The sequence below is a fragment of the Homo sapiens genome, chromosome 7 (genome assembly GCF_000001405.40).
Source record: "Homo sapiens chromosome 7, GRCh38.p14 Primary Assembly".
Lineage (NCBI taxonomy): Eukaryota > Metazoa > Chordata > Mammalia > Primates > Hominidae > Homo > Homo sapiens.
Window position 1 is genome coordinate 74,684,746 of NC_000007.14, and position 24,437 is coordinate 74,709,182.

The 24,437-nt window shown below is 43.4% G+C and overlaps 1 protein-coding gene and 1 long non-coding RNA gene across 7 annotated transcripts in view; one reads left to right on the top strand and one right to left on the bottom strand.

Moving 5' to 3' along the window:
• Nucleotides 1-24,437, top strand: part of GTF2I (general transcription factor IIi) — a 102,975-nt gene that overhangs the window by 27,028 nt on the left and 51,510 nt on the right. For all 6 annotated transcript variants that reach the window (NM_032999.4, NM_033001.4, NM_001163636.3 and 3 more), the window contains exons 2-8: nucleotides 4,379-4,482; nucleotides 6,228-6,366; nucleotides 14,216-14,350; nucleotides 15,502-15,685; nucleotides 15,861-15,889; nucleotides 20,419-20,473; nucleotides 21,645-21,688. In NM_032999.4, the coding sequence (NP_127492.1) occupies nucleotides 4,384-4,482; nucleotides 6,228-6,366; nucleotides 14,216-14,350; nucleotides 15,502-15,685; nucleotides 15,861-15,889; nucleotides 20,419-20,473; nucleotides 21,645-21,688 (685 nt within the window). In that variant the 5' untranslated portion in view covers nucleotides 4,379-4,383. The remainder of the gene's footprint in view (nucleotides 1-4,378; nucleotides 4,483-6,227; nucleotides 6,367-14,215; nucleotides 14,351-15,501; nucleotides 15,686-15,860; nucleotides 15,890-20,418; nucleotides 20,474-21,644; nucleotides 21,689-24,437) is intronic.
• GTF2I-AS1 (GTF2I antisense RNA 1) overlaps nucleotides 4,192-24,437 on the bottom strand; it is a 39,982-nt gene continuing 19,736 nt past the window's right edge. The window contains exons 3-4 of the long non-coding RNA NR_110044.1: nucleotides 15,465-15,635; nucleotides 4,192-4,526 (exon numbers count right to left, since the gene is read on the bottom strand). This is a non-coding gene — a long non-coding RNA (GTF2I antisense RNA 1). The remainder of the gene's footprint in view (nucleotides 4,527-15,464; nucleotides 15,636-24,437) is intronic.

The following is a 24,437-nucleotide window of genomic DNA, read 5'->3' on the forward strand; positions in this document are numbered from 1 at the left end:
TTCTGATAAAGACATAGGACCTTCATCACCAGGGGCGCCCCGTGGGCTGTTGCTGTAGCGTCTGTCCCCCATTTCTTACACACATTGAGTGTGATTGTTACCAGTGGAGGGTGTCCAATGGAAGAAGCACCAAAAGCCGAGATTTATTGAAAGTGGAAGGTACAGTCCACAAAGAGGGGGCGGGCCGAGCCTGGGGGCTGAAGAGCCCCTTTACAGAATTTTCTGGGGTTTAACTACTTTCTGGGGTTTAACTTTCTGGGGTTTAATTTTCTAGAGGTTTCCCATTGGTTACCTGGTGTACATCCTTTGTAAATACAGTAGTGGCCTGCAAGCAGTCTGATTGGTTGTGAAAAGCAACCAATTAGAGGCTGACTTGAAGTTACAAAGGTTACACCCTATGCAAGCATCTGTGGAAAGCAACCAATCAGAGACTAAAGTGAAGTTACAAAGTTACACTTGTATGCAAATGACGACTTGCCCTGCCGGGCTCCAGTAATCCCAGTACTTTGGGAGGCCAAGATGGGTGGATTACTTGAGGTCACGAGTTCCAGACCAGCCTGACCAATATGGTGAAACCCCCTCTCTACTAAAAATACAAAAAATTAGCCAGGTGTGGTGGCAGTTACCTGTAATCTCAGCTACTCGGGAGGCTGAGGCAGGAGAATCGCTTGAACCCGGGAGGCAGAGGTTGCAGTGAGCTGAGATAGCGCCATTGCACTTCAGCCTGGGCAACAAAGCAAGACCCTGTCTCAAAACAAAAACAAAAGGCCGGGCGTGGTGGGAGGCCAAGGTAGGTGGATAACCTGAAGTCAGAAGTTCCAGACCAGCCTGGCCAACATGGCGAAACTCCATCTCTACTAAAAATACAAAAATTAGTTGGGCGTGGTGGCGGGCACCTGTAGTCCCAGGTACTCGCGAGGCTGAAGCAGGAGAATCGTTTGAACCCGGAAGGCCGAGGTTGCAGGGAACCCAGAACGTGCCACTGCACTCCAGCCTCGGCGATAGAGCTAGACTCCGTCTTAAAAAAAGAAAAAAAAAAGTCCGGGGGCGATGGCTCACGCCGGTAATCCGGCCGAGGCGGGCGGATCATGAGGTCAGGAGATCGATACCATCCTGGCTAACATGGTGAAAACCCGTCTCTACTAAAAAACACAAAAATTAGCTGCGCGTGGTGGCGGGCGCCTGTAGTCCCAGCTACTCTGGAGGCTGAGGTGGGAGAATGGCGTGAACCCGGGAGGCGGAGCTTGCAGTGAGCCGAGATCGTGCCACTGCACTAAAGAAAAAGGAAAGGAAAAAAGACTTGGTCGCAGTCAGTCTGGGATTCGTTGCAGGAAGCAACCAATCAGAGGCTGAAGTGAAGTTACAATGTTACACTCCTGTGCAAACGTCTGATTGGTTGCAGAAAGCAACCAATCAGAGATACTTTGAATTTTCCATCTGGGACACAGAAAAAGTGGGGGTGGTGGTTTGCAAACTGAGTAGCCTCCCATCCTTTTGTTACTTAGGTGTGAAAAGTTGGGGTTTTCCTTTTGATTTAGTTCTAGGAAGTCAGCATGAATTGGCCTTAGGTTCCCTGCCTCCAGACCCTATTCTCCGGCCTCATGATGACTTGATGGCAGATTTATGGCGATTAAAGATGAGAAAAAGTGGTAACAGCAGTAGGCAGAAAATTGCCCTAGTTTCATGTTCTGACTGTGATAGTGGCAATATGACCTTGACAAATCACTGCATTTGTAAAATGAGAACACATCTCTGTTTTCTTTCGCTGGGGAATTAAAGGAAAAGTGAGATTATGAAGAAATACTATGAATTTTCAGAAATAATGAAAGTGTACGCTAAGTGAATGTCTAATTATAGAAACATATATGCCTTTGTTGTCCATTTCGCCTAAGCCACATTTTAATGGAAATTTACTTAGACTTGGGGGAGAGGGAGAGGGAAAGAAAACCAGACAAATTCACTTAGTTTTATCCAAGAGAAAAAGAATGGGACCTAAGCTGTTAGGCCAAATAATTTCTATAATTTACCTATTCACTTGCTTGATACGGCCTTTACTTCCGTCTCTAGTCAGGGACCCTTGTGTTGGGAATCAGATTTGCTTCTGTTTGTTCAAATATATGGGGATAAGTGTTTTGTTTGTTTTGTTTTTGTTTTTTTTTTTTGAGATAGAGTCTTGCTTTGTTGTTTGGGTTGGAGTGCTGTGGCGTGATTTTGGCTCACTGCAACCTCCACCTACTGGATTCAATTGATTCTCGTGCCTCAGCCTCCTGAGTGACTGGAATTACAGATGGTACACCACCATGCCTGGCTAATTTTTGTATTTTTAGTAGAGACAGTGTTTCGCCACATTGCCCAGGATGGTCTCGAACTCCTGGCCTCATGAGAGTCACCTGCCACGGCCTCCCAAAGTGCTGGGATTACAGGTTTGAGCCACTGGGCCCAGCCAAGTGTCAATTATTTTTTATTATGGTTTGTATTTATTTATTTTATTTTTTTTGAGGCGGAGTCTCACTCTGTCGCCCAGGCTGGAGTGCAGCAGCGCAATCTTGGCTCACTGCAACCTCCGCCTCCTGGGCTCAAGCGATTCTCCTGCCTCAGCCTCCCAAGTAGCTGGGATTACAGGTGCGTGCCACCATGCCCGGCTATTTGGAATTTTTAATAGAGACAGGGTTTCACCATGTTGGCCATGCTGATCTCGAACTCCTGACCTCAAGAGATCCACCCGCCTCGGCCTTCCAAAGGGCTGGGATTACAGGCGTGAGCCACCACGCCCAGTGGATTATGGTTTTTATTATAAAGCGCAACTTCCTAAGTATGTATGCTTCGTTACTTGTTGATGGGTAATCTGGGCTAGCAGTTAATTCACATGGTAACAGATAAAGCTAGATCACAGTCTTTAATAATAGGGAAATAGAGCATCCTCTTTAATAATAGGGAAAAGATTTACTGACATTTTTAGGCATAACAGTTTTCTGCTGACAGCTCCTCAGCTGCTTGTCCACGTTCTCCAGAACCCTGGGGCTTTAGTTAAGGAATACTCGGGTGTTGTCAGTAAATTAATTTGTTTTTACAGTTACTATTCTTGTTTCCAGTGTTTAATTTTTAAATTTTTCAGTTATCTTTCCATATTAAGTTTATTTAATTATTCAATAGCTCCCTAAAAGTAGAATTAATTCAACTAAATTAAAAGGGACAATTTTTAATAGGCATCTAATTTGCATGCTATTTACAGAAAACCTTTTTAGTGTTTCAGTTTTAGAAATTTGCTTTAGATTTTGCCATCTTAGTATGTCTTTATATGGTGTATTGTTTTGGTTTTATTTTGGTAAAATATACATAATTTTTTTGTGTGTGTGACAGGCTCACTCTGTCACCAAGGCTCCAGTGAGGTGGCGTGATCTCGGCTCACTGCAACCTCCGTCTCCCAGGTTCAAGCGATTCCCCTGTCTCAGACTCTTGAGTAGCCGGGATTACAGGCGCCCACCACCCTGCCTGGCTCATTTTTGTATTTTTAGTAGAGGCAGAGTTTTGCCATGTTGGCCAGGCTAATCTCGAACTCCCGACCTCAGGTGATCCACCTGCCTCGGCCTCCCAAAGAGCTGGGATTAGAGACATGAGCCACCACGCCTGGCCAGTATGTTTTTATATGGTGTGTTGTTTTCATTTTATTTTGGTAAAATATACTTAACATAAAATTTACACTTCTAACCATTTTGTTTTGTTTTTTTGAGACGGAGTTTTGCTCTTGTCACCCAGACTGGAGTGCAGTGCTGCGATCTCCGCTCACTGCAGCCTCCGCCTCCTGGGTTCAAGCAATTCTCCTGCCTCAGCCTCCCAAAGTGCTGGGATGATAGGCATGAGCCATCGTGCCTGGCCAGAATATGCTGTATTATAAAGAATCTTACATGTTACTTGATGCCTGTGATCTATTTTCTTAGTAAGAAGAGAAACTTCTCTCCACTCAGCCTCAGTCCACTGTACCCACTCTTTTGTGTGTCAGGATGTTCAGGGGAGAAGAGGGCTTAGCATCTCTGTCCTGTGTTGAGTTGTGGTTGCCCGTCACTGGGCTGTAAAGTGCCTTGCCTCGTCTTGTTCTTACTTGGGAGAAATTTCACTGATTCTGGGTGCCACCTGGATTTATTTGGGGTGTGATATTGACCCAATTTTCTGGAAATAACAATATATAGAAAATTAGGGGATAGATTCTTTATCTTATGAGGGTTTGGGCAAGTCAAATACTTAGTTTCTGAGCCTTATTTTGTCTCTAGAGCAAGAAAACTGTAAATTAGGCAGCCGGTGAGGGGCCCTCACAGCTTTGGCTGTGGGTTCAGGACACCAGATTTCTACCACTCACTTTCTTCTTACTTCTCCTGCACAGGGATCATGGCCCAAGTTGCAATGTCCACCCTCCCCGTTGAAGATGAGGAGTCCTCGGAGAGCAGGATGGTGGTGACATTCCTCATGTCAGCTCTCGAGTCCATGGTGAGGCCTTCTGTTCCATCATTCCATAGTTGGGTAGGCCTGCACTGTAGATAAGGTTGATTTGTTTTTGTGGAAGATAGAATTTTATGGTTTTTAGTTTTAATGAGTACTTTTTCTTTACTTTTTTTTTTTTTTTTTTTTTTTTGAGACGGAGTCTTGCTCTGTTGCCCAGGCTAGAGTGCAGTGGCGAGATCTTGGCTCACTGCAACCTTTACCTCCCGGGTTCAAGCGATTCTCCTGCCTTAGCCTTCCGAGTAGCTGGGATTACAGGCGCCTGCCACCACACCTGGCTAATTTTTTGTATTTTTAGTAAAGACAGGGTTTGACCATCTTGGCCAGGCCGGTCTCGAACTCCTGACCTCTTGATCCACCTGCCTCAGCCGCCCAAAGTGCTGGGATTACAGGTGTGAACCACTGCCCCAACCAATGAGTAGTTTTTCTTCTTGAATAGTTATGGGTTTAAGCCTTTCACATCACAGTCATTCATTCATTCATTCATTTATTTGAGACAGAGTTTCGCTCTTGTTGCCCAGGCTGGGGTGCAATGGCATGATATAGGCTCCCTGCAACCTCTGCCCCCTGGGTTCAAGTGATTCTCATGCCTCAGACTCCCGAGTAGCTGGGATTGCAGGTGTGCGCCACCACGCTCGGGTAATTTTTTGTATTTTTAGTAGAGACAGGGTTTCACCATGTTGGTCACGCGGGTCTCGAACTCCCGACCTCAGGTGATCCACCCACCTTGGCCTCCCAAAGTGCTGGGATTATAGGCTGAGGTCAGGAGTTCAAGACTAGCCTGGCCAACATTGTGAAACCCTATCTCTACTAAAAATACAAAAAAATTAGCCAGCGTGGCAGCGTGTGCCTGTAGTCCCAGTAACCCGGGAGGCTGAGACAGGAGAATTGCTTGAACCCGTGAGGTGGAGGTTGCAGTGAGCCGAGATCGCGCCACCACACTCCAGCCTGGGCGACAGAGTGGAACTCTGTCTTAAAAAAAAAAAGAAAAAGATGCCCATAAATATTTTGTTCCCAGGTTGTTATGGTGGTATTATTTTTAGGGGGGAAAATTGGAATCACCAACCTTTTAAATAATGTTATCAGTAAATCATTCAAGGTATATTCATTAAATGGAATACTATATACTCTGTAACATTTTAAAAGAATATTTAATCTCGTAGAAATATGCTTAGTAAAAGTCAGTAAATACTCTGCCCACCTAAAAGTGATTCTGGCTGTGTGTACACAGGGGAATACTTCTGGAGGTGGGGATTATGTAATGAATGCTGTAGTGTGGGTTTCAGACCCCCACCCTCCTTTTGTACTGAGGGCACTAATTGCCCCAGGTGCCATGGCTGTTCGAGCCACCTTGTACAAGATTCCACCCTTTCCCAGGGGAGGGCCATGCCAGCTCCCAGCTCTGGGTGCAGCTACATCAGTGTTCAGTGCTTCGTCTGTCCAGCCCTGCCTGCCTTCCGCCTCCCAAGTGCTGTAATTGACAGTGCCCCCCAGCAAGCCTGTGTAAACTCTCAGTCTACTACTTGGAGAATCTGACCTATAAGAGATTACAAGGGAATTGTGTTTTTTTTTTCCTTATAAATTCTGTGTTGTCTTTTGTTTAAAATCAGGCCAAAAACTATCTTGAAAGAGAAGTACCTTTAAAAAATGTTGTTAGTTTTTTTAATTCATCGAGCAGAAATGATGCTCTTAAACGTCCGCCTGTAACATGATGTTTGCTGTTTGTATTGTAGTGTAAAGAACTGGCCAAGTCCAAAGCCGAAGTGGCCTGCATTGCAGTGTATGAAACAGACGTGTTTGTCGTCGGAACTGAAAGAGGACGTGCTTTTGTCAATACCAGAAAGGATTTTCAAAAAGATTTTGTAAAATATTGTAAGCATTGTATTTTTATCTTTTGCATTTCATTAATTTTAAGCCTAAATATTTGTAGGTAAGACAAGTTATATTATTTTCTTTCTTTCTTTCTTTCTTTTTTTTTTTTTTTGAGATGGAGTTTTGCTCATGTTGCCTAGGCTGGAGTGCAGTGGCACACTCTTGGCTCACCACAACCCCCGCTGCGTGAGTTCAAGTGATTCTCCTGCCTCAGCCTCCCAAGTAGCTGGGATTACAGGCACGCGCCAGCACGCCTGGCTAATTTTGTATTTTTAGTAGAGACGGGGTTTCTCCATGTTGGTCAGGCTGGTCTCAAACTCCCGACCTCAGGTGATCTGCCCACCTTGGCCTCCCAAAGTGCAGAGGGATTATAGGCGTGGGCCACTGCGCCTGGCCAAGTTATATTTTCTTCTAAAACAGAATGAGGTTTAAACTAAAAAAGATTTTCTGAAATGTTTATGGAGACATTTCAAAATGCTCAAAAGGAATCACTGAAATATGTCAGGATAGATACTGAAGAGTTAAGAAAAATGGTAGTGTTTGTTGTACGGTGTTCCTTGCTTGGCTTTACTCTGGGTTAATGAGATGCATTAGAGAGAAGGTAATGAAGGTAGAGAAATTTTGAATAGGTTAAAACTTTTACTCAGATAAGGAGTTATTTTCTTTTTCTTTTTTTTTTTTGAGACAGAGTTTCACTCTTGGCCCCCTGGGCTGGAGTGCAATGGCACGATCTCGGCTCATTGCAACCTCCACCTCCCATGTTCAAGCAATTCTTCTACCTCATCCTCCCGAGTAGCTGGGATTACAGGTGCCCACCACCATGCCTGGCTAATTTTTGTAATTTTAGTAAAGACAGGGTTTTGCCATGTTGGCCAAGTTGGTCTCAAACTCCTGACCTCAGGTGATCTGCTTGCCTTGGCCTCCCAAAGTGCTAGGATTTCAGGCATGAGCCACCACTCTCGGCTTTTTTTTTTTTTTTAAGAGATGGGGTCTCGCTCCGTCACCAGGCTGGAGTGCAGTGGCGCGATCTCCGCTCACTGCAACTTCCACCTCCTGTATTCAAGCAATTCTTCTACCTCAGCCTCTGGAGTAGCTGGGATTACAGGTGCACACCACCATACCTAGATAATTTTTTGTATTTTTAGTACAGACAGGGTTTCTCCATGTTGGCCAGGCTGGTCTTGAGCTCCTGACCCGAGGAGCCCACCTCGGCCTCCCAAAGTGCTGGGATTACAGGCGTGAGCCACCACATCCGGCCGGGAGTTCTTTTCTAGATAAAAAGTTGGTGTGTTGAAAACCAGTGATTCACTGTGCAAGTTTGTTTAAGCATATTGCAAAATTAAACAGTTCTCCTCCACTCCCTCACAGATACGAGTCACCTTATCACAGTCTTCAGTGAGTTTTGTAATCTGCATTTAGAGCAGTGGTGAGCTTATTTGACATTGGAACAGTGTTGAAATTTACTATAGGGTTTTAATACCCACAGCCTTTCACAGTATGACCATTTTCATATCTGTGTTTAACCTAACACTGTAGGTTTTATGTTAACTGATTGATACAGCATTTTCTTAAAAACATGGAAAGGGAACAAAAAAAGCTAGGGTATCTATAGGCACATATTATATATGGGCATACCTCATTTTTTGTTGTTGTCATTTTTGTTTTTTTGAGACGGAGTTTTGCTCTTGTTGCCCAGGCTAGAGTGCAATGGTGCGATCTCGGCTCACCGCAACCTCTGCCTCTTGGGTTCAAGTGATTCTCCTGCCTCAGCCTCCCGAGTAGCTGGGATTACAGGCATGCACCACCACACCCAGCTAGTTTTGTATTTTTAGTAGAGATGGGGTTTCTCCATGTTGGTCAGGCTGGTCTCGTACTCCTGACCTCAGGTTATCTGCCCGCCTCGGCCTCCCAAAGTGCTGGGATTACAGGCATGAGCCACTGTGCCCGACCGGGCATATCTCATTTTTTTTTTTTGTGCCTTGCAGACACTGCAGTTTTCACACATTGAAGATTTGTGGCAACCTTGTGTCAAGTCTATTGGTGCCATTTTTCCTGCAGCATGTGCTTACTTGGTTCTCTGTGTTGCATTTTGGTAACTCTTGGCATAGCATTATTTGAGACTTTTTCATGATTATTGTATCCGCTGTAGTGGAATTTTTTTTTTTTTTTTTTTTTTTTTTTTGAGATGGAGGTTTGCTCCGTCACCCTGGCTGGAGTGCAGTGGTGCGATCTCGGCTCACTGCATCCCCTGCCTCCTTGGTTCAAGGTATTGAGATCAGTGATCTTTGATGTTACTATTGTAATTGTACTGGGAGTCCTCGAACGCACACATATAATATGGCAAACCTAATAGGTAAATATGTGTTCTGACTGCTTCACCAATCGCCTGGTCCCCCATCATTCCCTTTCCTCAGGCCTCCCTGGTCCCTGAGACACAATATTGAAATTAGGCCGGCCAGGCACGGTGGCTCATGCCTGTCATCCTAGCACTTTGGGAGGCCGAGATGTGTGGACCACGAGGTCAAGAGATCGAGACCATCCTGGCCAACATGGTGAAACACCATCTCTACTAAAAATACAAAAAATTAGCTGGGTGTGGTGGCGCGTGCTTGTAGTCCCAGCTATTTGGGAGGCTGAGGCAGGTGAATTACTTGAACCTGGGAGGTGGAGGTTGCAGTGAGCCAAGATCGCACCACTGCACTCCAGCCTGGCGAAAGAGCAAGACTCCGTCTCAACGAAAAAAAAAGGAAATTAGGCCAATTAATAGACCTATAGTGGCCTCTGAGTGTTCAAGTGAAAGGAAGACTTGCAGGCTGCTCACTTTACATCAAAAGCAGAAATGATGAAGCTTAGTGAGGAAGGCATGTCAGCAGCTGAGGTAGGCTGAAAGCTAGGCTGAACAGGTAGCCAGGTGGAGAATGCGTAGGAAAAGTTCTCGAAGGAAATGAAAACTGCTGCTCCAGTGAACACGCAAATGATAAAGCAAAACAGCTTATTGCTGATAGGAAGAAAGTTTGAATGGTGTGGATAGAAGATCAAACCAGCCACAGCATTCCCTTAAGCCACAGCGTAATCCAGAGTGAGGCCCTAACTCTCTTCAATTCTGTGAAGGCTGAGATGGGTGAGGAAGCTGCAGAAGAAAAATTGGAAGCTAGCAGAGGTTGGCTCATGAGGTTTAAGGAAAGACACAGTCAGCTGGGGGCGGTGGCTCACGCCTGTAATCCCAGCACTTTGGGAGGCTGAGGTGGGCAGATCGTCTGAGCTCAGGAGTTCAAGACCACCCTAGGCACCCTGGTGAAACCCCGTCTCTTCTAAAATACAAAAAATTAGCCAGGCCTGGTGGCGTGCACCTGTAGTCCCAGCTGCTCTGGAGGCTGAGGTACGAGAATCGCTTGAGCCCAGGAGGCGGAGGTTGCAGTGAGCTGAGATCTCGCCATTGCACTCCAGCCTGGACTCTTGAGATCTGTCTCAAAAGAAAAAAAAAGGAAAGACAGAGTCTCTATAACATAAAAGTGCAAGGTAAAGCAGCAAGTGTTTGATGTAGAAACTGCAGCAAGTTCTTTAGAAGATCTAGCTGAGGTAATTCATGAAGATGGCTACACTCACAAAACCCGATTTTCAACGTAGACAAAACAGCCTTATATTGGAAGATACTCTCTAGGACTTTGCTAGCTAGAGAGAAGTTCATTCCTGGCTTCAAAGCTTCAAAGGACAAGCTGAATTCCTTGTGAGGGGTTAACGCCGCTGGTTACTTTGAAGCCATGTTCATTTACCATTCTGAAAATCCTGGGGTCCTGAAGAGTTACACTAAATCTGCTCTGCCTGTGCTCTATTGATAGAACAATAAAGCCTGGATGACAGCACATCTCTTGATAGTGTTGTTCACCGAATATTTTAAGCCCACTTTTGAGACCTACTGCTCAGAAAAAAAGATTGCTTTCAAAATATGACTGCTCACAGTCACTCACAGAGTCCTGATGGAGGTGTATAAGGAGATGCTTGCCATTTTATTTTTATTTTTTATTTAGTTTTTTTTGAGACAGAGTTTTGCTCTTGTTGCCCATGCTGGAGTGCAATGGCGCGATCTCAGCTCACTGCAACCTCCATGAACACTGTTGAAATGATAACAAAGGATTTAGAGTATGACATAAACTTAGTTCATAAAGCAATGGCAGGGTTTTGGAGGATTGACTCCAATTTTGAAACAAGTTCTACCGTGGGTGAAATGCTACCAAATAGCCTCACACTACAGAGAGACCTTTCATGAAAGCAAGAGTCAATGTAACTTTTATATGCATTGGGAAACCAAAACATCTGTGTGACTTTACTTTATACTTGTATTATTGTGGTGATTTGGAAATGAACCTGCAGATGCTTGTATGCCACTAAGGTCTAAAGTTAAACTTCTGATGTCAGTTTAGATTAAATTGGTGATACATTCAGCAACTTATTAGTGAACAAAAAGTTTTGTTAATTCACGAATTTTAATTCCCAATTGTATTTTTAGTTTGTTTTAAAAACTATCCCCTGCCACTGTATTCCTCCCCCTGTCCCTTACCCCCATGCTGTAATCTTCTAAGCTTTATGTTAGTAACTTATTTTTAAAATGTTGACATTATTATAATGTTGAGAAATGTTCAAGCATTGATTATGTTTCTGTGTTTCTTTATACTAATAATGCTGTTTTGATTGTGTGTGTATCAGCTGCTGTCTGCCCCACCAATACCATAAGCCCGCCTGCAGCTGTACTTATTCTCCCCTTCCCTGTCCTGCCTGGCTTATGTGGTTCTCCACTGGTTAGAACTAAGCATTAAGGGCGCTGTCCTCAGCTGCAAGCTGTAGTCACTGTCCATCAGTATTCATACTTTGTTTTTATTGCTAATAATTTTTTTTTTTTTTTTAAGGAGTCTCGCCCTGTCACCCAGGCTGGAGTGCAGTGGCGTGATCTTGGCTCACTGCAACCTCAGCCTCCCAGGTTCAAGCGATTCTTCTGTCTCAGCCTCCCGAGTAGCTGGGATTACAGGCACACCTGGCTAATTTTTGTATTTTTAGTAGAGATGGGGTTTTGCCCTGTTGGCCTGGCTGGTCTCGAACTCCTTACCTCAAGTGATCCACCCACCTTGGCCTCCCAAAGTGCTAGGATTACCGGCGTGAGCCACCGTGACTGGCCTCATTGTTAATAATTTGATCCATGGAGAATGGTTTCTGTATCTAATTCTCCTTCTTCTCTTTTTTTTTGAGACAGAGTCTCACTATCGCCCATGGAGTGCAGTGGTGCGATCTTGGCTCACTGCAACTTCTGCCTCCCAGGTTCAAGCAAGTCTCCTGCCTCAGCCTTTCTAGTAGCTGGGATTACAGGCGTGTGTCACTACACTCGGCTAATTTTTTTTTTTTTTTTCGAGACGGAGTCTCGCTCTGTCGCCCAGGCTAGAGTGCAGTGGCACGATCTCAGCTCACTGCAAGCTTCACCTCCCGGGTTCACGCCATTCTTCTGCCTCCGCCTCCCAAGTAGCTGGGACTACAGGCGCCCACCACCATGCCTGGCTAATTTTTTGTATTTTTTAGTAGAGGTGGGGTTTCACCATGTTGGCCAGACTGATCTTAAACTCCTGACCTCAGGCGATCTGCCCTCCTTGGCCTCCCAAAGTGCTGGGATTACAGGCATGAGCCACTGCACCCGGCCTAATTCTCAAGTACCTCTTACTTGTTTGTGTAAAGTACTTTGCAGATAAGGAGCAATAATGGTCTTCTGGAAGGTAATCAATAGGTTTATGAGGCAATCATAGAAATTCTTCAGGAGAATTCTGAGCGCTTTTCTGGGATTTAGAAAAGCGTTGTTCAGCAGAAAAAAGTATCATGTGAGTCTCTCACATAATTTAAAACTTTCTAGTTAGAACATTAAAGAAAAATAAAGAAAAACAAGTGAAATTCATTTTACTGGTAATACTTTAACTTATTATATCTAAAATATTTCAACATGTAATCAATTTAAAAATTATTAATGGGCCGGGTGTGGTGGCTCATGCCTGTAATCCCAGCACTTTGGGAGGCAGAGGCAGGCGGATCACGAGGTCAGGAGATCGAGACCATGTGGCCAACATGGTGAAACCCTGTCTCTACTAAAAATACAAAAATTAGCTGGGAGTGGTGGCGCGCACCTGTAATCCCAGCTACTCGGGAGGCTGAGGCAGAAGAATCGTTTGAACCTGGGAGGTGGAGATTGCAGTGAGCCACGATCGTGCCACTGCACTCCAGCCTGGTGACAGAGCAAGACTCCGTCTCCAGAAAAAAAAAATTATTAATGGGATATTTGTCATACTTTTTTTGTACCAAGTCTTCAAAATCCAGTGTGTATTGTACACTCATGAAACATCTGAATTTGGACCAGCCAAGTTGCAAGTGCCACATGTATCTATTTGTTATCGTGCTAGACTTTGCAAGCCTAGAATTTTTTTGTGTCGATAATCTTCTCATATTTAAATTTGTAACCAATACAAATTTTCTTTTTTAAAGTAGTACAAGGGTACTGGTATGTAGTATTTTTAGCTATAGCTACACTTATTTCAGAGATGGTCACCATTTCATATTACTTTCATTCATCTAAGTATTTTAGATTTTTATTTGAAAAGTTCCCTTTTAAATCTCCATCTCCCTGCCTTTTATTTTTTATTTTTTTGAGACGGAGTCTTGCTCTGTCGCCAGGCTGGAGTGCAGTGGTGCAATCTTGGCTCACTGCACCCTCCACCTCCCGGGTTCAAGCAATTCTCCTGCCTCAGCCTCCCAAGTAGCTGAGACTACAGGTGTGTGCCACCATGCCCAGCTAATTTTTGTATTTTTTGTTTGTTTGTTTGTTTGTTTGTTTGAGACGGAGTCTCACTCTGTCGCCCAGGCTGGAGTGCAGTGGCGCAATTTCCGCTCGCTGCAAGCTCCACCTCCCGGGCTCACGCCATTCTCTTGCCCCAGCCTCCTGAGTAGCTGGGACCACAGGCGCCCGCCACCACGCCCGGAGAATTTTTTGTATTTTTAGTAGAGACGGAGTTTCACTGTGTTAGCCAGGATGGTCTCGATCTCCTGACCTCGTGATCCACCCGCCTCGGCCTCCCAAAGTGCAGGGATTACAGGCGTGAGCCACCGCGCCCGGCCTAATTTTTGTATTTTTAGTAGAGACGGTGGTTTCATCATGTTGACCAGGACGCTCTCAATCTCTTGACCTTGTCATCTGCCAGCCTCAGCCTCCCAAAGTGCTGGGATTACAGGTGTGAGCCACCGCACCTGGCCTTTTTTTTTTTTTTTTTTTTTTTTTTTAATTTAAGAGACACAGTCTCTATCCATCACCCAGGCTGGAGTGCTGTGGTATGTTCTCGGCCCCATCATAGCTCACTGCAGCCTTAAACTTCTAGACTCAAGCAGCCCTCACTTCAGCCCCCAGACAGCTAGGACTGCAGACATACAACACTATACCTGGCTATTTTCATTTTTTTGCAGAGATGTGTCCTTGTTATGTTGCCAAAGCTGGTCTTGAACTCCTGGGCTCAAGCAATCCTCCTGCTTCAGCCTCACAAGGTGGTGGAATTACAGGCGTGAGCCCTTGGGCTTGTCCTCTTTTTTGCTTTTATAACAAATCACAAATGACTTGCTATTTTGTTACAAAATAACAAATCATTGGTTACAATGATTAATAAATGTTAAAGAATGGTTAAGAAATAGTTTTTTCCTGTTAGAATACATGATAAAAGTAGTTTTCCCTGTTAGGATACAGGAAAACGATTTTTACTAAAAACCAAATATTAAGGTAATGGATATGGACCTTATTATTATTTTTTTATTTTATTTTTTATTTTTTTTACAGGTGTTGAAGAAGAAGAAAAAGCTGCAGAGATGCATAAAATGAAATCTACAACCCAGGCAAATCGGATGAGTGTAGATGCTGTAGAAATTGAAACACTCAGAAAAACAGTTGAGGACTATTTCTGCTTTTGCTATGGTAAAAACAATAGATTTAATTTTTCTAAAAGATACATTATATAATTGAATTTTCTAAAGGGAAGCTTATGTAATTGATTCGAAAATCATATAACACACATTTTCAGTGACTGAATGGATTAGCAATAACCTTACTTTCTTCCACTTCCATTTTGAAGGAACCCAGGAGGAAGTGTGGCCAGTAGAGCTGTTTCTTTCTTTCTGTTTTTTTTTTTTGAGATGGAGTCTCGCTCTGTCGCCCAGGCTGGAGTGCAGTGGCACGATCTCAGCTCACTGCAATCTCCGCCTCCCGGTTTCAAGTGATTCTCCTGCCTCAGCCCCCTGAGTAACTAGGATTACAGGTGTCCGCCACCATGCCCGGCTAATTTTTGTGTTAAATTTTAGTAGAGATGGGGTTTCACCACATTCGCCAGGCTGGTCTCGAACTCCTGATCTCAGGTGATCCACCCACCTTGGCCTCCCAAAGTGCTGGGATTACAGGCGTGAGCCACCATGCCTGGCCTAGCTGTTTCTTTCTAATAAGCATGCTCATCTCTCTAATTCCATGCAAAGCCACCTTTTCTTACTCTTGTCACATCATAAAACAAAGCTCTTACAAGAAAACAGTCAAAGGAGGAGATTGAGGTTTTACTGCAGGGTCATAGGTGAAAATCAATTCTCTGGAATGGGATTTTCAGTATGTGTGAGGCTCGCTGCCCAATAGGTTGACAGTATATACTCATTTGTAAATGGGAAGTTTGTATTTACCTGATAAGTTTTCAATGAGAATATTAGCCAAAACATTCCTGGTATTTTATGGTAATAGTTGGATGTGCTGGGCTTCTGTATTCTGAGGCCAAATTGTACCTGAGAATATGCCAGGATGGGACCATCTTCAAGAAAGACAATAGTGCAAGAAACCAACCATTGCTCTCTCTATGTGTTTTTTAAAGTAAAATATTTTATCTACTTTTCATTTTGGCCCTTCGGATCAGTTTCAGGTTTAGACCTTCTGCTGACATGGGGAGATAGAATGCTGTAGTATTAATTAATTTTGAAATCATATATTATAAAAAATCATGGATGCCCTTATTAAGCCACAATAAGCTAGCGATGATTTCATTTTGTAATCTTACCATTGAATGATGTTCATCCGCTTTTCATCTGCCCCAGGGAAAGCTTTAGGCAAATCCACAGTGGTACCTGTACCATATGAGAAGATGCTGCGAGACCAGTCGGCTGTGGTAGTGCAGGGGCTTCCGGAAGGTGTTGCCTTTAAACACCCCGAGAACTATGATCTTGCAACCCTGAAATGGATTTTGGAGAACAAAGCAGGGATTTCATTCATCATTAAGAGGTGAAGTGCTTTCTCCCTTTGTACCCATCAACAGTTGATTCGTATAAATTTGAATATTTAGCTTACGTTAATGTATTTTTAAAATTCATATTTAACACAGAAGTCATTTAAATGTATGCTTTACAATAATTTTGCGTATTCATACGAAGTTTTGTTTTGTTTTGTTTTAATGCAGACCTTTTTTAGAGCCAAAGAAGCATGTAGGTAAGTAAGTGCTTTGCTTCCTTGATAGCTGGCTGGCCTCCGTTTTGCTAGATTTTCATACACTTTAATGGTTTCTGTTTTATTGTCTTTGAGAATATGATGTCAGACATTTTCGGATGGGCTGTTTAGATGTTTATATAATCCACAAAAGGTTCATTGAGCTAAAAAAGTGGAGACTTGTTTTTTTGTTTTCAGCTTCGCTGCTTGTTTTCTATAGAAGATCATACATCTGCCCTCACTTACCAGAATTATGAGTAGGATTTAATTGACCTAATGTCATCGACTCGGCAAGACGTTGTTGGGCACAGCATTGGGTGGGGAGGGGATACGCAGCTGTGTATCAGCATTACCACTTTTGAGAGCTGTGAGTCTCACGGAAGAGAGAAAATTCTGTAAAATGAACATGGCAAGAACATTGCATCCCTACGGCAAGAATGGCTCTGAGAAAGTGCTGTGGATGTTATTGGAGGTTGGATTCCTTTATAGTTCAGGAAAGAGTTCATGAGGAAGAGAGCATTTCCAGGAAGGGCGTTTGAAGAATGATGCGGATTTCAGCTTCCTTTAGGGAAGTCTAGCCATTTCATTTGAAGGGAAAACAGGATAAAGAGTAATACCCTTTAGAGCCAGGTTTATTTGAGACTTTCGGAAGTAAATAACCAGTATCATTGGAATACTTTTAAACATGTAACTATGAAAGGAAAAAATTATATATACATAAACATACACATTGTGTTTTCTGTTAACCTTTGTCTTATTCTCATTGTGGTGAAAAGATTAATTTTTTAGCAGCTTTATTGAGGTATAATTGATACACCATAAAATTCACCTGCCTTTTTTTTTTATTATTATTTTTTGAGACGGAGTCTTGCTCTGTCGCCAAGGCTGGAGTGCAGTGGCGCGATCTTGGCTCACTGCAGCCTCTGCTTCCCAGGTTCAAGTGATTCTGCCTCAGCCTCCCGAGTAGCTGGGATTACAGGCACATGCTGCCACGCCCGGCTAATTTTTTGTATTTTTAGTAGAGATGGGGTTTCACCATGTTAGGATGATCTCGAACTCCTGACCTCAAATGATCCACCCGCCCCGGCCTCCCAAAGTGCTGGGATTACAGGCGTGAGCCACTGTGCCCAGCCAAATTCACCTGTCTTAAGTATATAATTCACTAATAGTAGATTTACAATCTTAAAATGTTTTTAAGGGGTTTTTACCCATCATCACAGTCTTAATTTTGGGATGCTTTCATCGTCCCTGTCTCTGTTATTTCATGAATGTTGTAGAAATGGAATATGTAGTATGTATCCTATTGAAATGAGCTTTTTTCACTGAGCATCACTCACTCGAGGCTCATCGAGCTTGGTAGGTGTAGCCGTAGCTTCTTTTTATTGCTGAGCACTAACTATTCTGTGACATGAACATACTGTCTGTTGATCCAGTCATCAGTTTATAGATATTTTGGTTGTTTCCACCTTTGGGTATTGGGAATAATGTTACAGTGAACATACTTGAGCAAGGTTTTGTCTGGACATATTCCTTGATATCTCTTGGATATTTACGTAGGAGTGCAATTACTAGGAATAGGGTAAATTTACACTGAACTTTTTTTTTTTTTTTAATTGAGACGGAGTCTCGTTCTGTCACCAAGTTGGAGTGCAGTGGCATGATCTTGGCTCACTGCAACCTCCGCCTCGTGGATTCAAGAGATTCACCTGCCTCAGCCTCCTGAGTAGCTGGGATTACAGGCACGCGCCACCACACCCGGCTAATTTTTGTATTTTTAGTAGAGACGAGGTTTCACCATGTTGGCCAGGATGGTCTCAATCTCTTGACCTCATGATCAAGGGAGGCCTCTCAAAGTGCTGAGATTACAGGCGTGAGCCATCGCGCCCTGCTACACTGAACTTTGAAGAAACTGACAAGCTGTTTTCCAAGGTGGCTATACCATGTTATATTCTCACAGCAGGATAGGAGGGTTACCCCCACATTGCTGCCAACTTACTTCTTGATTTTAGCCATTGTAATAGATGTGAAGTGGTATCTAATTTTTTTTGATTTTTAAAAATTTCTCTAGTGATTGTTGATGTGTTTTTACTTTTCTTTCTTTCTTTCTTTTTTTTTTTTTTGAGACAGGGTCTCACCCTGTCGCCCAGGCTGGAGTGTAGTGGCGCCATCTCAGCTTAGTGCAGCCTCAACCTCCCAGGCTCAAGCAATCCTGCTGCCTCAGCTTCTCAGTAGCTAGGACTACAGGCGTGTGCCACCATACCCAGCTCATTTCTGAACCTTTTTTTGGTAGAGACAAGCTCTTGCCGTGTTGGCCAGGCTGGTCTGGAACTCCTGAGCTCAAGTGATCCGCCTGTGTCAGCCTCCCAAAGTGCTGGGATTACAGGCTTGTGTTATCTTCAATTGTGCTTATTGGTCATCCATACATATTTTTTGGAGAAATATCTATTTAGGTCCTTTTCCCATTTAAAAATTGGGTTTGTTTGTCTTTTTATTATTGAGTCTTGTTTTTTATATAGTCTTGATATAAGTCTCTAATTGATGATTTGTTAAAAAAAAATTTTTTTTTTCTTTTTGCAATGGTGTCACTCTGTTATCCAGGCTGGAGTACAGGATTTGGGAATATTTTCTCCAATTCTAATAAATCTACATTATCCTTATTGTATAACTTGTCTTCTTCCCTTACTTGGTAGTATCCTTTGAGGCACAAACGTTTTAAATTTTGATAAAAATAAGTTTATTCTTTTGTTAACTTGTGCTTTTTTTTTTGAGACAGAGTCTCGCTGTGTCACCCAGGCTGGAGTGCGGTGGCATGATCTCAGCTCACTGCAACCTCTGCCTCCCGGGTTCAAGCAATTCTCCTGTCTCAGCCTCCCGAGTAGCTGGGACTACAGGTGCCCGCCACCATGCCCGGATAACTTTAGTATTTTTAGTGGATACGGGGTTTCACCATATTGGTCAGGCTGGTCTCAAACTCCAGACCTCAGGTGATCCACCTGCCTCAGCCTCCCAGAGTGCTGGGATTATAGGCGTGAGCCACTGCGCCTGGCCCTCACTTAAGCTTTTGACTTCATATTCAAGAAACCATTGCGTAAACCCAAAGGCATGAAGATATGACTTCTGTGTTTTCTTCCACAAGTCTTATAGCTTCAACTCTCACATTTAGATCTATGGTTCATTTTGAGGTCATTTTTGTATATTATACAAGGTAAAGGTATAAATTCATCTTTTTGCACGTGGATATCCAATGATTCCAGGACAATTTGCAGAAAAGACCGTCCTTTCCCTCAAGATATCCTTGTTATCTTTGTTGAAAGTCTTTTGACTCTTTGTTTATTTCTGGGCTTTCTATGTAGGAGATCATGTTGTGTGAGAATCAAGACAATTTACCCCTTTCTTTGCAATCTAAGTGCCTCTTATTTCTTCTTCTTGTTGCTCTGACTAGAATATAAATGTCACACAGCATTGGTGATAGCAGACATCACCTTGTGATATTAGTAGGAAAGCATTCTGTCTTTGACCATGAAGTATGATGTTAGTGGTAGGATTTTTGTGTAAATCTCTTTTAAGATGGAGAAATATTTATCATGTTTATGTTAAATTTCAGACTTAAAAGTTTTTTTTAAACTTAATTATTATTTTTATTTATTTATTTATTTATTTATTTTTTTATTTATTTTGAGATGGAGTCTTGCTCTGTCGCCCAGGCTGGAGTGCAGTGGCATGATCTTGGCTCACTACAACATCTGCCTCCCAGGCTCAAGCAAATCTCCTGCCTCAGCCTTCTGAGTAACTGGGATTACAGGCGCCCGCCACCACACCTGGCTAATTTTTATATTTTTTTAGCAGAGACGGGGGTTCACCATGTTGGCCAGGCTGGTCTCAAACCCCTGACCTCAAGCAATCTACCCATCTCAGCCTCCCAAAGTGCTGGGATTACAGGTGTGAGCCTCCACGCCCAGCCTAATCTCAGCATTTTGGGAGACCAGAGTGGGAGTCTCCCTTGAGGCCAGGAGTTCGAGATAAGCCTGGGCAACATAGCAAGATCCAATTTCTACAAAAAATAGAAAACAATTAGCTGGGAGTGGTAATGCATGCTTCTGTAGTCCCAGCTACTCAGGAGGCTGAGGTAGGAGGATTGCTTGATCCTCGAGAGTTGGAGGCTGCAGTGAGCTATGATCATGCCACTGCACACCAACCTGGGCAACAGAGTAAAACCCTGTTTCTAAAAAAAAAAAAAAAAAAAAAAAAAAAAAATCTGTTTCATCATTTATATGTCAGCAGAGTCATATTCTCCATATTCCATCTTACTAGACAAATGGTATGTTTCTGCATTTCTCTCACTGATGAAAATAAGAGCTTTTTCATTCAAGGAGGTTGTGGTTGGGTGAAGGGATGAAAAGCAGTGTTTATTCTGGTGTGATCCAGAGCTGCAAAGCCTAGTTCTACCCCACTAATTCTATATTTAAAGCCTTTAGACATATTATATTTGAAATGTTGAAAAACTAACTCCAATTTTTTTTTTTTGTATGTAGGTGGTCGTGTGATGGTAACAGATGCTGACAGGTCAATACTATCTCCAGGTGGAAGGTAAAACCTAATTTCATTACTGCTGTTTAACTCCCACACCTCAAAAAGTTTTAGTTGTTAGATAATTGAGATATCAGAATATTAAAAAGGCCTCATGTCACACATCTTAAAGTTTAATAGGCAAGGATATCATTTGGGGATCTTGTGAACATGCCCTCTTTGACTTGGTATTTCTGAATAGTAGAGTTCCTGGGAAAAGCCAGAGGCATTGGTCACACTGTGAATTGGCCTTAGAGTGGTATTTGGAAGTTAATATGCTATTCTGTAGTATTTTATTATACTGTTTTCCCCAAAAGATAGATAGAAATTAAAGTACTAAGTTCAGTTGGTAACTCTTTTTTTTTTTTTTTATTTTTGAGATGGAGTTTTGCTCTTTTTGCCCATGCTAGAGTGAAGTGGCGCGATCTCGGCTCACTGCAACCTCTGACCCCCTGCTGGGTTCAAGCGATTCTCCTGCCTCAGCCTCCCAAATAGCAGGGACTACAAGCATGTGCCACCATGCCCAGCTAATTTTTTTGTATTTTTAGTAGAGACGGGGTTTCACCGTGTTGGCCAGGCTGGTCTCGAACTCCTGACCTCGGGTGATCCACCTGCCTCGGCCTCCCAAAGTACTGGGATTACAGGCATGAGCCACCACGCCTGGCCCGATAAGTCTTAATATGCTACTCTGTAGTATTTTATTGTACTTTTTTCCCCAAAAGATAGATAGAAATTGAAGTACTAAGTTCAGTTGATAACTCTTTTTTTTTGTGGAGACAGAGTCTCCCTCTGTGGCTCAGGCTGGAGTTCAGTGGCATGATCTCAGCTCACTGCAACCTCCACCTCCCGGATTCAAGTGATTCAGGTGAGCGCCACCACGCCTGGCTAATTTTTGTATTTTTAGTAGAGATGAGGTTTCACCATATTGGCCAGGCTGGTCTTGAACTCCTGACCTCGTGATCTGCCCGCCTCGGCCTCCCAATGTGTTGGGATTACAGGCGTGAGCCACTGTGCCCGGCCCAATAACTCTTATTTATGCAATAAATAAATATGTCAGTTTTAAGCTGAGTCAGGTTTGCACCCACCTTGGTCAAGGGAGGGATCTTAACACTTTGAGACCCAGAGACTTTGAATGCTGTGGGAATGGCTGTCACCAGCACGTGGCTTGATCAGGGCTTTCTTCTCCTTGCAGTTGTGGCCCCATCAAAGTGAAAACTGAACCCACAGAAGATTCTGGTATGTACTAGCACTTTTAGAATCAATGGTGAAATTAAGGAAGACTTTTCCTTAGTGTAGAAGTTTATAGTTTGACTCAATTATTGTTTTGTTTTGATAAGAAAGAGGCAGTCACTACTAATGTATTCCAACTGTGACACTATTTGTTAATGTTATCACATTAAGACCCAGAAAGGTAATTTGCTCAGTAAGTGGTAGGCAGAGTTCTTTGCCAGTTACATATGTTTGTAGATAAAATGTATTTTTTTTTCCCGTTGTACAGACATATAATGTAAGAGGTCAGCTGTTCTATAGTGCTTTTTACAAAAATCAATAGAATGCCCCCTTCGTCTCCACCTTCCTTCTCTGCACTCCTGTTTTCCACTCTCCAAGGAGACCATTTTCAATTCTCAAATAAAATTGCTATTTAATTCCTTATTTATTTATTTATTTTTTGAGATGGAGTCTTGCTTTGTCACCCAGACTGAAGTGCAGTGGCACGACCTCGGCTCACTGCAACCTCTGCCTCTGGGTTCAAGCGATTCTCCCACCTCAGCCTCCCGAGTAGCTGGGATTACAGGCATACGCCATCACGCACGACTAATTTTTGTATTTTTAGTAGCGACGGGGTTTCGCCAGGTTGGCCTGGCTGGTCTTGAACTCCTGACCTCAAGTGATCCTCCTGCCTCAGCCTTCCAAAGTCCTAGGATTACAGGCATAAGCCACCGTGCCCGGCCCCCGTTTATAATTCTGTTCTGTCCTAGAACCGTGGCACCCAGATGTTCTCAGCATATGTATTTATTTCATCATTTCCCAGTGTTATCCTGTGTCCTAGTGCCACTGTCAAGCCTCCCGCTGCTCGGCCCTGTGCCCCTTATTCACACGGGACACTCCTTAGTGGGCTGTCACCGCCCTGCCTGCCCCCTCATCTCCCTCTGTCTGACCAGGCCCTCGGCAGCTTCCCCAGCCCCTTCCCCGGCCCTTTGTCAGCCTTCTCATTCTGCCATGCTTCCTGGGCAGCCACCTGCCCCGCTTCACCCCATCTAAGGGCATCTCGAATGAGTTGTTGGGGAGGAGGGTAGGGCCGCGTTAACGTGTGTGTGCGTGCATGTGAATGAGAGCTTTTATGTATGTAAGTGTATTTTGGGAGAGCTGCAAGAAAGTGTTGAATTATCCTTTTTTGGAAAAGGTATTTGAGTCTTTTACACTGTTTGCTGGTTTTACAGAAGGTTTTTCTTTTTTCTTTATTTTCACTCCATAGGAAATCTCAAATTTTTGTGTGGTTTTCAGTAGATTGTGCCAAAAAAAATCATCATTTTGCAAATGTTTCCCCTTAATTCATATATTCATCTCCTGAATATTTAGTTTGCTTCTAAAAAGAAACATGCTGAATTCAGAAACCCCATGTGTTTAATTGAATTCTTTCAACTGTCTTTATGTACACATCAGCATCATTATAGGTTTTTTTTTTTCTCTTTTACACTTTGCATCTTTGTATTCTTAATTTATCCTGCAAATAAGATGTACATTTATAGCCAGGGTGCAGCCAGGAGACAGAAACCATATCAGTTATTGGAACAGAGAAAATTTAATGTAAAGATTGTTGGCCGGGTGCAGTGGCTCACACCTGTAATCCCAGCACTTTGGGAGGCTGAGGCGAGTGGATCACCTGAGGTCAGGAGTTGGAGACCGGCCTGGCCAACATGGTGAAACCCAGTCTCTACTAAAAATACAAAAAAAATTAGCAGGGCATGGTGGTGGGCGCCTGTAATCCCAGCTACTCAAGAGGCTGAGGGAGGAGAATCGTTTGAACTCAGGAGGTAGAGGTTACATTGAGTCAAGATCGTGCCATTGCACTCCAGCCTGGGCAACAAGAGTGAAACTCCATCTCAAAACAAAACAAACAAAAACAGATTGTTAACTGGTTATAAAATTGTTAACTTTGTAACCTTAAGGAGAATACTAAGGTTTTTTTTAAGGAACAATTCTAGGCAGTGGCTGCCACCCCATCAGCTTTCCATCTGACTTCTGAGGTGGGGTAGTGTTTGGCTGGTGCTGGTGGCTGAGGGGCATGGTGAGGCTGCTTCTGGTAGTGTTGGAGACATTGCCAGCCGGGCACAGCTGTTGTGATGGGAGGGCCTGCTTTGGCCAGGCTGAACGAGGGTACCAAGGAGTGACCTTTTTGGGATGAGAATGCAGACAAGAAGCCAAAAGGAAGGCCCAGATCTCTTCTCCTCCTCTAGCCTTTCTCTCTGTAGTGTATCTTTGTGGCAGAGACTCACATGGAGCCAGCTGCTATGCAGAGCTCAAACTTCAGCAGAAACCCAGAGGATGGGTTTGCAACTGAGAGACATCAGTTTTGTGGGTGGCCCAGGCTGTTCTCTTTGGCTGCTCAGCATATATACACACCCTTCCCTGCACATTTGACCTTCTGTACAACAACGAGACAACTGTTCCATCTAAAGAGATGCAACTTTACTTCCTACAAAGAAATCCATTTTTACTCTCTCCTCAAAATGGGGGGACACAGTGTTCCAGCAGTCACACCCATCGCTGGGAGACTGACTGAAAATCCAGTCGCGAGCTATGTTACCTGCTCTTTAAATGCAGTGCAAACCTATTTGAGTAATCTCTAGTCTAATGGACAAATGGAAAGGAAACTTCCAGCCAAACTATTGTGAAATACTACCACACAGAAGAGAATAGTTAGTATATGCAAGCATATAATCTTCACACAAACACATTTGTAACAGACAAGGAAGACAATAGG